General features: G+C 37.9%; 1 protein-coding gene across 8 annotated transcripts in view; it reads right to left on the reverse strand.

Moving 5' to 3' along the window:
* The window catches only part of TTLL11 (tubulin tyrosine ligase like 11), a 277635-nt gene that overhangs the window by 205051 nt on the left and 58652 nt on the right, over positions 1-13932 (reverse strand). For all 8 annotated transcript variants that reach the window (XR_001746188.2, XR_929721.4, XR_929720.4 and 5 more), the window contains exon 3: positions 10999-11132. Coding sequence is in view for 5 of the 8 variants with exons in the window: in XM_047422825.1 (XP_047278781.1) it covers positions 10999-11132 (134 nt within the window). In the remaining 3 variants the exon portion in view is untranslated. The remainder of the gene's footprint in view (positions 1-10998; positions 11133-13932) is intronic.

A 13932-nucleotide genomic window follows, 5' to 3' on the forward strand; every position in this document is an offset into this window, starting at 1 on the left:
TGGGACTAGTGTCCTTATAAGAGGAGGAAGGCAGCTAGTCCTTTCTCTCTACCAGGTAGGCAAACAATGAGAAGGTGACCAGCTATAAACCAGGAAGAGGGCCCTCACCAGAACCCAACCATGCTGGCATGCTGATCTTGGATTTCCAGCCTTCGAAACTGTGAGAAAAAAAAGTTTGTTATTCGTCACCCAGTTTATGATATTCAATTGTAGCAGCCCAAACTTCCTAAAACAGTAGTCTAGATAAAAACACTCAGCAAATGTTGCTATTGTTATTGTTATGTAGTCATTCTTTTAGAGAACTTCCACTTTCAGCCAAAGTGTAATAACAGAAACTAGATTGACTCTTGCCCCGCATCGCTCGAGCAACCAAAAAGTAGACAAAATATGTTAACAGTTTTGAAGACCTGGATATGAAGCAACAAAGGACAGTGATTCCTGAGAGATAGGAATTGAACGATGTGAACCCTAGGATTGCCTCAGATTACTGCCTTGAGAAAGATTCCAGGCTGCAGTGCAGAGTGCCCCAGTAGGACCTTGGTGAAGCCCAGTGGACGCCCTGAGTTGAGAAAATGGAACTGTGAGTCAGGGAAGACTGAGATAGCCAGGGTTCTCAGGACAGAGTACTGGGAAGGACACTTTTGTACAGAGAACTCTGGAGCGTCTTCCTTAAATGTTTTGCTAGGTACAGATCAGCATGCACGTGAGGAAACTACCCAAGGCCAAACTACCTGAAAAACACCCCCAAAAAAGCAGAGGTAGCAGTGCCTGGTGTTCACACAGAGCCAGGAGTAGTGTCTTTCTCACCAGCCAGACTAGAAAACATGATTCATGGAGCACTGGGTAGAGCACACATAAGACTGTTGCTTGAGTAGTGAGGAATAGTAAGCCTTAGACTGAGTACCACTCCAGTCCTGCTTAACAAATCTTGAAAATCTTGAAATAGACCTGAAATCTATTTCCAAGTAACTGAACTGGATCTTACAACAAAGTTCAAGAATATGTGCAGGAATATGGAAATATCCAACATCCAAATAAGGTAAGATTCACTATATCTGTCACCCAGCTAGAAACTCCCAGACATGAAAAAAACATCGTGATATGGGCCACAATGAAGAGAAAAATCAAAACCAACTCAGAATGGACAGAGTTAGAATTAGGAGACAGTGACATTATGAGAGTGATTATAATGCATTCCATATGTTCAAAAAGTTAAGTAGAAATATGGAAGATAGTTAAAAAGACTCAACTCTCATGTTTAGAAATAAAAACTACAATATGTGAGATAAGAGATTGAATGGGATTATTCGACAAGAATGAAAAAAATGAGTGAATGTGAAGACAAAACAACAGAAACTCTCCAAAATGAAACAGAATGATTTTTTTAAATGAACAGAACATCAGTGAACTGTGGGACAACTTCAGATGTACTAATATGTACGTAATTAGAGTGAAGTAGAAGTGAAGAGGCATAGAAAAAAAATCTGAAGAAATAATGGGCAAATATTTTCCAAATTTTATTAAAATTATAAACCCACAGGTCCAAAAGCTCAATGAGAAACATGAGCTTTAACATGAGAAATATAAAAGAAAATTACATCAAGACACATCATAATCAAATTGTTCAACACCAATGATAAAGAAAAAATATTAAAAGCAGCAAGAGAAAAAGAATGTTATATAAAGAAGATCAAAAATAAGGAAGAAAACAGATTTCTTTTCAGAAACAATATAAGCAAGAAGACAGAAGAGCAATATATTAAAAGTGCTGAAAGAAAAACAAAATGTCCACCTAGAATTCTACACCTAGAGAAAATATCATCCAAAACCAAAGGCAAAATAAATTTCAAGAAATATAAAAGTTGAGAGAATTCATCACCAAAAGACCCTCACTGCATGAAATGCTACAGAAAGTTATTTACACAAAAGAAAAATGATACCTGACAGAAATGTGAATCTACACAAAAAAATACAGAACACTGGAAATGGTAAATATATGAGTAAATATTTAAAATTATTTCATCTTGTTATTTAAATCTCTTTAAAATAGAGTTGATTGTTAAAACAAAAATGATAACAATGTAGTCTGGAGTTTATAATAAGTATAAAAGTAAAATGTATAAAAACAACAGCATAAAAGCTAGGTGTGGGAAAATGGAAGTACTATGAGTGTTATAAGGTTCTCATACTATAAATAAAATAGTACTATATAACTTAAAGGTAGATTGTGATAACTCAAAAATGTATACCATAAATTTTAAAGGAACCACTAAAAACAAAACAACTATAGCTATTATGCCAACAAAGGAAATCAATAAAACTGAAAACTTCTAAACAGACTGAGCAGAGGGAAAAAAAGAAAAATAAAAAACACAGATTACAAATGTTAGGACTAAGAGGTATCATTAGTAAAGGTAAAGGCAGATTACTAAAGGTAACATTATGAATCATTTTACACCAATACAAGTGAAAACTTAGAAAAAGTAGACAAATTTCTTGAAAACAAACTATTAAAGCTCATTCAAGAAGAAATAGATAATATGAACAGCCTATATCTATCAAAGAAATTGAATTTGTAGTTAAAAGTTTCCCACAAAGAAAATACCAAGCTCACATGATTTCCCTAGTGAATTTTACCAAACATTTAAAGAAATAATACCAACTCTGAAAAAACTCTTCTAGAAAATTTAAAAGTAGAAAATATTTTATAATTCATTCTGTGTGGCCAGCATTATCCTGATAACGAACCAAAGACATTACAAAAAAATAAAAATAAAAATGCAAACCAATATCCCTCATGAATATAGATGCAAATAAAGAACATTTTAGTAAATCAAAATTCCACAATATATAAAAAGGATAATATGTTATGACTAAGTGGAGTTTGTCTTAGGGATGCAGGGTTTGTTTAATATTTAAAAATCAACCAATGTAACTCAACCACATTAACAAGCTAAAAAAGAAGATCCATATGATCATCTCAGTAGACACAGGGAAAAAAAAAAGAGTGACAAAATCCTACATCCATTCCTAATTAAAAACAAACAAAATCCATGGAAACAAGAAATAAAAGGAAACTTCATCAATCTGATAAAGAACATCTACAAGAAACCTACAACTAACAACAATACTTAATGATGAAAGACGAAATCCATAACCCCTAAGATCAGGAAAAAGTCCCGGACATCTGTTCACACCACTTCTACTTAACATTATTTGGAGGTTCTAGCCAGTGCCATAAGGCAAGAAAAAGAAATAAACGGCTAATTACAAAGTAAGACAAAACCATTCAATTCTCAGAGGATGTAATAGTCCATATAGAAAATCCAGTGGAAGTACAAAATAAGCTACTAGAACTGTTAAATAAGTTTAACAAGGTTGCAGGATACAAGATCAATACACAAAAAGCAATTTTATTTTTACATACAATGAACAATTAGAAATGGAAGTTTAAAAATAAAACACTGCCAATATATCAAAAATTGGAAATCATAAGGGAAAATTGTGACAAAAGATGTGAAATACTTGTACGCTAAAAACTAAAAAACACTGTTCAAAGAAATTAAAGACCTAAATAAAAGGAAAGATACACCATGTCAATGGGTCAGAAGACTCATTGTTAAGATGTTGATTCTACTCAAAGTGATATATAGATTCAGCACAATTCCATTCAAAATCCCAGTGGGCTTTTTTGTAGACATTGACAAGCTGATTCTATATTTCATATGGCTGATCAAAGACTACAATAGCCAAAACAACTTTGAAAAAGATGAACAAAGTTGGAGAGCTTACACTACCTGATTTCAAGGCTTATAAAGCTATATCAAAACAGTGAGGTTTTGGCAGAAAGAGAGACAAATAGATCAAAGACACAGAATACAGAATTCAGAAATATACCTACACATATTTGGATAACTGTTTTTGACACTGGTGCAAAGGCAATTTGGAAGAGAAAGATTAGTGTTCTGATCAAATGTTTCTGGAACAACTGGATATTCGTATGCAAAAAAGTGAACTTCAACCCATACCTTACACCATATACAAAAATTAACTCAAAATGAATCACAGACCTAAATTCGAAAGCTAAAACTATAGAACTTTTAGACAAAAACATAGCAGAATATCTTTGTGAGCTTGGGTTAGATATAAATTCCTATATATGACACAAAAAGCATGATCTATTAAAAAATTGATAAATTGGACTTTGTCAAAATTAAAAACTTGCTTTTCAAAGGATAATAAGAGAATGAGAAGACATCTCACATACCCCATAAGTATATGTACCTACTATGTAGACACAAATATTAAAAATTAAAAAATAAAAAAAGGCACAGACTGGAAGAAAATATTTACAATTGGTATATCTCATAAACACCTGTATTCAAAATATATAAAAATTCTCAAAGCTCAATAATAAAAATAAACAACCCAATTAAAAAAAAATAGGCAAAACATGTGAACAGACATTTCATCAAAAAATATATCTGGATGGCAAACAAGCACATGAAAAGAAAGCTCCACATCATTAGTCTTTAGGAAGTGCAAAATACAACTGATGACAGGTCACTACATACCTATTAGAATGGCTAAAATTAAAAAGACTGACCACTGGCCCTGTAAGGTGACAGACAGGAGCAGTGGCTCACGCCTGTAATCCCAGCACTTTTGGAGGCCGAGGCAGGTGGATCGCTTGAGCTCAGGAGTTCAAGACCAGCCTGGGCAACATGGTGAAACCCTGTTTTTACAAAAAATACAAAAATTAGCCAGGTGTGGTGGCCTGTGCCTGTAGTTCCAGCTACTTGGGAGGATCGCTTGAGCCTGGGAGATGGAGGCTGCAGTGAGCTGTGATCGGGCCACTGCACTCCATCCTGGGGGACAGAGCAAGACCCACTCTTAAGTAAATAAATAAATAGACTGACCATTACCAAATTCTGGCAAAGATATGGAGGAATTGGAATGTTCATACATTGTTGATGGGATGATAAAATGACACAACTACTTTGGAAGACAATACTTTCTTTAAAATTAAATATGCACCTACTATATGATCCAGCAATTCAATTTTTAAGCATTCACCCAGGAAGAATGAAAACATGTCCACGCAAAGACTTACCACAGGTGTTCATGGTGTATTTGTAACAGCCAGAAAACTGGAATCAACCCAAATGTCCTGCAGCAGGTGAAGGTCTAAGCAAACTGTGGTATAAACATTCAATAGAATACTCCTTGGCAATGAAGTATTGATACATACTACAAATATGGATGAATCTCAAAATAACTGAAAGAAGCCAGACCTCCCCCGAAAAAGGAGTGCCTGTTATATAATGCCATTTACATAAAATTCTACAAAGTGCAAAGTTATCTTGACAGAAAGTGGATCCACTGTTGCCTGATGATAGGAGAGGAGGAAAAGAGGGAAGAAGCGAAGGAGGGGCTGGGCGTGGTGGCTCATGTCTATAATCCCAACAATTTGGGAGGCTGAGGCAGGCGGATCACTTGAGGTCAGGAGTTGGAGACCAGCCTGGCCAACATGGTGAAACCCATCTGTAATAAAAATACAAAAATTAGCTGGACATGGTGGCACATACCTGTAATCTCAGCTACTCAGGAGGCTGAGGCAGGAGAATTGCTTGAACCTGGGAGGTGGAGGTTGTAGTGAGCCAAGATCACGCCACTGCACTCCAGCCTGGGCAACAGAGCAAGACTCCATTTCAAAAAAAAAAAAAAAAAGAAGGGAAGGACAGAAGGATTACAAAGGGACACGAGGAAAAATTTCAGCATGATGCATATGTTCATTATCTTGATTGTGGTGATGATTTCACGGATTTTTACATATATGAAATGTATAAAACTGTACATTCTAAATATCTGTAGTTTATTCTATGTCGATTATATCTCAATAAAGCTGTCTGTTAAAAAGTATAAGACAACTAGGCTCTCTGCAGAGTCTCAAAATATCTCCTTACTAGACACTTAGTAATTAAAAAGGAAAAAAATAGTAACTTTATAGTGGAGAAATCTAGCAGACACTACTTTAACTAAGTGATCAAAGTTAACATCACCAGGGATAAGACATCTTGACATCATGTACTTAGCAACATCACTTTCATGGTGTTCTTGCCAAAAATGTCTAATCTGAATCTAACATGAGAAAAATCAGACAAATCCAAATGTAAGTTCATTCTAAAAAAAAAAAAAAAAAAAAAACTAGCCAGTCGTATTAGACTGTTCTCACACTGCTATAAAGAAATACCTGAGACTGGGTAATTTATAAAGAAAAGAGGTTTAATTGGATCACAGTTCCACAGGCTGTACAGGAAGCATGATGGTGGCACCTGCTTGGCTTCTGGGGAGGCTTCAGGAAACTCTCAATCGTGGCAGAAGGCAAAAGGAAAGCAGGCACATCTTAGGTTGCTGGAGCAGGAGCAAGAGAGAAAGGAGGGAGGTGCTACACACTTTTAAACAACCAGATCTCATGAGAACTCTATCACTATGCAACACCAAGGGGGGAAATCTGTCCCCATGATCCAATCACCTCCCACCAGGCCTCACCTCCAACACAGGGGAATTACAATTCAACATGAGATTTGGTGGGGACACAGATCCAAACTGTATCACCAGTACTCTTCAAAAGAGTCAAGGTCACAAAAGACAAAGACCAGGGAACCATTACAACCTAGAGAAGACTGGGGAGAAATGACAACTAAATGCAATGAGGGATCATGGAGTGAATCCTGTACCAGAAAAAGGACATTAGTAGGACAACAGGCAAAATGCAAATAAAGAGCATAGGTTATTTCATATTATATCAATGTTAATTTCCTAGTTTCAGTCACTGTGTAAGATGTTAACATTAGAGGAAGTTAGATGAAGAATTTGGGGTGCTCTCTCTGTCCTATTTTTGCAACTTTTTTGTTGAGTTTTAAATTATTTCAAAGCAGTTTAAAAACTGAAGGCAAAATAAAGACATTTTCAGACAAATGAAAGCTGAGGGAATTTGTCACCAGCAGACCTGCACTGTGAGAAATGTGTTGATGCAAATTCTTGAGGCCAGAGGAAAATAATACCAAATGGAATCCCAGAGCCATTCAAAGGAATGAAGAATGCTGGAAATAGTAAATACATGAGTGAGTATAAAAGACAAATGTACTAATCTTTTAGTTTCTTTATAGGATAATTGACTTTTTAGAGCAAAAATAATAACAATGTATTGTGTGGTTTATAATATTGTTAGAAGTAAAACAGATGACGATAGCACAAAGGATGAGGGCGGGAATGGAACTATACTGCTGTAAGGCGCTAATATGTTACTTGAAGTATGTAATACTTAAAGGCCAATGTGGTAAGTTAAAGATGCATTGTAAACCCTAGATACTAGGGCTAGGGTGAAAACTAAAAAGATTTTTAAAAGAAGTATAGCTAATAAGCCGAAAGAAGAGATAAAATAAAACACTAAAAATATTCAATTAATCCAACAGAATAAATAGAAAAGAAATAGTAAGATGGTAGACTTGAATCCAACAGTTAGTATTACATATTAAGATTAACTGGACTAAACACACAAATCAAAAGGCAGAGACTGTCAAACTGAATAAAAGACCATACTCAGTTTCATGCTGCCAACAAGAAGCACTCTTTAAAAATGCAGATAGGTTAAAAGTAAAATAATGGTAAAAAGATATACCATGCAAATACTAAGCCAAAGAAAACTGGAGGTGCTAAATTAATATCAGACAAAATAGACTTCAGGACAAGTTACTGATAAAGGAGTCAAATCATCAAGCTAATAACGGAGCTTCAAAATGCATGAGGAAAACACTGACAGAACTAAAAAGAGAAGCAGACAATCCAAAATTAAAGCTGGAAATTTCAACACTAACTTAGTAACTGATAGAACTAGTAAGTAGTAAAGTAGTAAAAAAGATGTGAATACCACCAATAGCAACTTGGCCTAATTGACACTTATAAGATGCTACATCAACAACTCCAGAATACTTATTATTTCCCAGGGCCATGAAACACTCATCAAGATGGACAATGTGTAAGCCATTAGAAAACTCTCAACAAATTTAAAGAGACTGAGATAATACAGAATATACTCTCTGATGTCAACAAAATTAAATTAGAAATCATACAAAAAATATTTGGAAAGTCCGCAAATGACTTAAAAAGTAAACAACACATTTCTACATAACCCATGGGCAGAGGAGAAATCCCAAGGGAAATTAGAGAACATTTTCAACTGAATTATAATGAAAATGTAACATACAAAAATTCCTGAGATGTATCCATAGCAGTGCCTAGAAAGAAATTTGTTTTAAGATTTAAAAATCAGTGATCTTAGTTTTGTAGCACAGTGCATTACTCATGTTTGTGGTGTTGCAGGTGTCAACAAACCTACTGCACTGCCAGTTGTATAAAAGTGCAGTATAATACAATTATGCACTGTACAGAATACTTGATAATGATAATAAACTACTACGTTACTAGCTTCTGTATTTACTATAGTATACTTTTTATTGTTATTTTAGAGTGTACTCCTTCTACTTCTAAAAAAAAAAGTTGACTGTAGGATAGCCTCAGGCAGGTTCTTCAGGAGGTATTCCAGAAGAAAGCACTGTTATCATAGGATATGACAGCCCTACGCATGTTACTGCTCCTTGAAGACCTTCCAGTGGGATAAGAAGTGGAGGTGGAAGACAGTGATATTGATGATCCTGACCCCGTGTAGGCCTAGGCGAAGGTATGTGTTTGTGTCTTGGTTTTCTAACAAAAAATTCTAAAAGTAAAAATAATTTTAACATTTAAACATAGAAAAAGGCTTAGGGAATAAGAATATAAGGAAATTTTTTTTGTACAGCTGTACAGTGTGTGTTTTAAGCTAAGTGTTATTACAAAAGAGTCTAAAAGGTTTTTAAAAAATAAAAAGTTTAGAAAGTAAAAAGTTACAGTAAGCTAAGGCTAATTTATCGAAGAAAATTTTTTAAAAATAGATTTAGTGTAGCCTAAGTGTACAGTGTTTCTGAAGTCTGCAGTAGTATAATGTCCTAGGCCTTCACATTCCCTTACCATTCACTCACAGACTCACCCAGAGCAACTTCTAGTCCTGCAAGCTCCATTCATGGGAAGTATCCTACATAGGTGTATCATTTTTCATCTTTTATACAGTATTTTCCCCTTTCTATGTTTAGATACAAAAAAGACTTACCAATATTAAGTCCAGTACCATGCTATACAGGTTTGTATCCTAGGAGCGATAGGCTATACCGTATAGCCTGGATGTGTAGGAGCCTATACCATCTAGGCTTGTGTAAGCACACTCTATGGTGTTGGCACAATGATGAAATCACCCAATGACACTTTTCTCAGAATGTGTGCCCGTCAAGTGACTCATGACTGTAGTTGGATGCAAAGCTGGGAAGGAAAGGTATTCCACATAGCAACAACAGCATGAGCAGAGCCACAGAAGAGAGACATTGGGGGGGGGGGGGTAATTATGAGGAACAGCTGAGAGTTATCTTTTAAAATTAACTTTATTGAAGCATAGTTTGCATACAATTAAATGCACCCATTTTAAGTTAATAGTTCGATGAATTTTAAGCAATGTATATAAACCCATGTGACCACCATCTCAGAGAAAACTTCCTTTAAAAATTATCACTTCAAGCTGTTTTTGTGTTTAGTAAATGATAATTTTATTACAAGTTTTATAATTCAATATTAAAACCAAAACAATACAGAGGCAATAAAATAGACTCAGAAAGCATATGCCTTGGAAATAGCTCTAGGTTTTAAACCTTACTTCTCAAGCAAGTTGCTAAATTTTTCAAAGCCTCAGTTTCCTCATCCATAAAATGGGGATAATAATAAAACCAGCCTCACAAGATTGCTATGAAGATTAAAAGAAATAATGTGGGCTGGGCGTGGTGGCTCATGCCTATAATCGCAGCACTTTGGGAGGCTGAGGCGGGCAGATCACTTGAGGTCAGGAGATCGAGACCAGCCTGGCCAACATGGTGAAACACCATCTCTACCAAAAATACAAAAAATACAAAAAAAAAAAAAAAAAAAGCCGGTGTGGTGGCACCCGCCTGTAGTCCCAGCTACTCAGAAGGCTGAGGCAGGAGAATGGCTTGAACCCAGGAGGTGGAAGCTGCAGTAAGCCAAGATCTCACGACTGCACTCTGGCCTAGGCAACAGAGCAACACTCCGTCTCAAAAACACAAAAATAAAAATAAATAAAATATGTTAAACTTCTAGCACAAAGCCTGGAACATAGCAGGACCAGTAAATGGTGTTAGCCTTATCACAATTAGACAGGCATTGGTTGTATAGTCACCCCAGAGTTATGGGACAGACTGTGAAACTTGTACACAAAGGCTTTGAAGGGGTCCTAAATGAAACTGTTAAAAGGCTAACAAAAATGGCAGTTCTGAGTTCCACTTCACAATCAGTGGTGAGGGCTCCAGTGTATTACATGCTCAAACCTGGTGCTTCGAGATGGAATGGGTCACTTGACAATTGATTCTGGAACAAGTTTAAAGCAAAACACTGAAAAGGTTCCCCATGAGTTTGTCAGACCTGCTCCCTGGCCTTTAAACAGAGCCTGACCTCCCACATCTCAGGCCACAGGAAGCCGGCGAGGCCACGGCTCTAGGATTCCCCCAGCGGCCCCATCCTACTTGGGGGCCCAGCCACCTGCTCCGGCTCCAGCTCCCTGGCTCCCCAGCGTCCTGACTCCATGATCCAGTTTTGATATCCGCCTTAGGGCTGTCTCCTTGTGTCAAGACCCGTTTCTTCAGTTTACCTACCTGTCACCCTACTCGTTCAACTCTGCAAGCTGTTTTGATAGCTGCCAACACCTACTGTGTACTGTTAAGATGCTCCCTTAGTCGCAGCTCCCTGGGACCCCCTGTCCCAGCTCCCAGCACACAGGACCCAGGACACAGTTGCAAGCATAATATAATTCAGGGGTCATGGGGACGGAGTGCCATCTACCTGAGCAACAAAGAGCTGGAACTCGTCAGGCAGAATCCATGAGCGAGGGTAGAAGTTGTACTCCTCAGGAAAGAGATTCTGCATGGTTCTCACTGCTCTGCTCAGAGTAATTTTACGCACCATCTCCGTCATGCCTGGGGAGAAGAGACGCTGTGAGGTTTTAACAACAGTGGGCTACTAGCTATAAAACAGCCATTATTTGGGACTTTTAAAACCACCCACCCGACATATTCTCTTTTTCAGGCAGGATTTTTAAAAAAGGTCTGAGTTGTTCCCCACAGCGGTGACTCATGGTTTGGAAAGAACTACTGAGTTAATGAAAAACTTGAGGTAACGGACGGGTGTTCTTTTCTCTTTATAAAAATGAAGCATCAGTTTGAAGGAATGAGTTTTCACCTAGTTTATTCTTTTATTCTTTGTCACCCCCTTAGGTAATGAATAGGGAAGCATTTATATCTTGCACTTAAAATTTAATACCTTCTTTAATTTGGGGCCACCTTACGTGCTTCTGGGATTCCTTCCGTCTTGTACCCTAGAGAATATCATCTAGTGGACTCTGGTTACATTATGAGAGGCTTAATTAAGTTTACTTCTTTTACTGTTTCATGAGTATTAAAGGCATGGAATAGGAAAACACACATCTTTCAGCATAAAATCTGTCTCCTTGAATGAAGGACAGGAAATAAAAAGAATACCAAAATTTATACTTCAAGGGAAAAATGCAATCTGTAGGAGTTCCTCAGTTATAAGGACTGACACTGACATTGATCCTATCTCATTAATTTGCCCAGAGGGAATTGAAATGTCTCACTGTTATAAAACATTAAAAGAATGGTGGGGGTGTGAACCTGGGAGGCGGAGCTTGCAATGAGCCAAGATCGAGCCACTGCACTCCAGTCTGGGCAACAGAGCAGGACTCCGTCTCAAAAAAAAAAAAAAGGTTGGTGGATTTTTTTTCTTGTAACATCATTAGTAACTCTGACAAGAGAAGAAACTGAGTACTATATATTGTAGCAAATTTTAAGCAAATAGGTAAAAATTATTATCAATTTTAGCATGTTTATTTCATTTTTTCTTTTTTTTTTTTTTTGAAACACAGCCTTGCTTTAATGCCCAGGCTGGAGTGCAGTGGCATGATCTCAGCTCATTGCAACCTCCACCTCCCAGGCTCAAGGGATCCTCCCACCTCAGCCTCTCGAGTAGCTGGGACTACAGGTGTGTGCCACCATGCCCGGCTAATTTTTGTATTGTTTTTGTTTTTGTAGAGACAGGGTCTCACTATTGCCCAGGCTAGTCTCGAACTTCTAGGCTCAAGCCATCCACCTGCCTTGGCCTCCCAAAGCCCTGGAATTACAGGTGTAAGCCGCCATGCCTGGCATCATCCTTATTTCTTTTTCTTTTTCTTTTTAGGCAGAGTTTCGCTCTTGTTGCCTAGACTGGAGTGCAATGGCACGATCTTGGCTTACTGCAACCGCCGCCTCCTAGGTTCAAGCAATTCTCCTGCCTCAGCCTCCTGAGTAGCTGGGATTACAGGTGTGCACCACCATGCCCAGCAAATTTTTGTATTTTTAGTAGAGAAGGGGTTTCACCATGTTGGCCAGGCTGGTCTCAAACTCCTGACCTCAGGTGATCCACCCCCCTCGGCCTCCCAAAGTGCTGGGATTACAGACGTGGCCACCGCACCCGGCTATCATGCTTGTTTCTTAAGACAAATATCATTGCCAAAAATGGTGGCTACAAATGGCCTTTACCCTGAAAGAGACCAAACAGTTCCATTACTGATACTAGAAATGTGCTTGGCAAAGCTATTTTTAATAGAAAATACAAAGTTCCATGTCAGCTTGGCATGCCCAAATTATCACACATTCCAAATGGGCAGTCAGAATGAATGAGTTTCCTCTAAATTCCCACGTTCAGAAAGAAAAGGGTAAACATCTGGGAAGGAAAGTTTTAAGAACCAACTTCTTGCTTCCATCAGCGTATTAAAAAGTGCAATAAATCTAAAGATCCCAGCTTCAAGACGTCAGTGCCCAGGTCTTAGTTGTTGTTTAGAAGGATGTAGGGAAGGATTAAGTAAGAAATAAAGGAGCTTAAAAAGCACTAATAAACTGCTCTAACATGGACTGTTCAATAGTCAAGAAAACTCACTGAGGACACTGTTCTGAGCTTCCCAAGAAGGGAGTCTGGAAAATCACAGCTATTTCCTTTTATTCTCCCTCGAAATTAGAATTGTTGCATAATAAACACTAGAGCTGACCGCAAAGTAAACAAAGCAAAACTTCAACTTTTTTGGAATCCTTTTGCTTGAGGTTTACTAACATTAAAATGTTACCGTATTGAACTGAAAGCCTTCATAACTAACTGTAATACAGCACCTTACTCCACGTAGAGGATGCCTCCTGACCAAATAGTGTTGTGGTATTTTCTGCACTTTAAAGTCGTTGTGCCGGGGGAATGTTCTCTTCCGAAATCCCTCAGCAGGTCAGAAGGGCTCACACAACACAGAGAGCTGTGGGTACTTGAGGGCAGTCTGGGTGCTCCAGAAAAGTTTTGTGAAAATCTATGTCCAGCAAATTCAGTCAATATTCATTTAATATCGGCAATGGCTCCTTCTGTAATGTGCACCATCAGGCCCCACACCAGCTAATAGGTGTTTCCAAGTTTACCTTCATGTCTCCAGGCAGTTTTTCTACTGAAAATGGCCAACTTAAGAAGCACCCCTGGAAGCCAGGCACTTCCTGCCTGCAGGCCGGAGGCAGCTCACTCCAAACCTGCCTGAATGCCTGTCTCCAGGAGGGACGGGTGTAGACTTCTCTCAATCCACTTAGCACCAAACCTTTGCTCCTCCATATCTAAGCTGTGCTCCTATCCAGTGCCACCAGGGAAAGAGTTTCTGGCCCCTCACTAGAACCCACATGGAAGCTCCTGGCATCT

Source organism: Homo sapiens, chromosome 9 (genome assembly GCF_000001405.40).
Source record: "Homo sapiens chromosome 9, GRCh38.p14 Primary Assembly".
In the NCBI taxonomy this organism is placed as follows: Eukaryota; Metazoa; Chordata; class Mammalia; order Primates; family Hominidae; genus Homo; species Homo sapiens.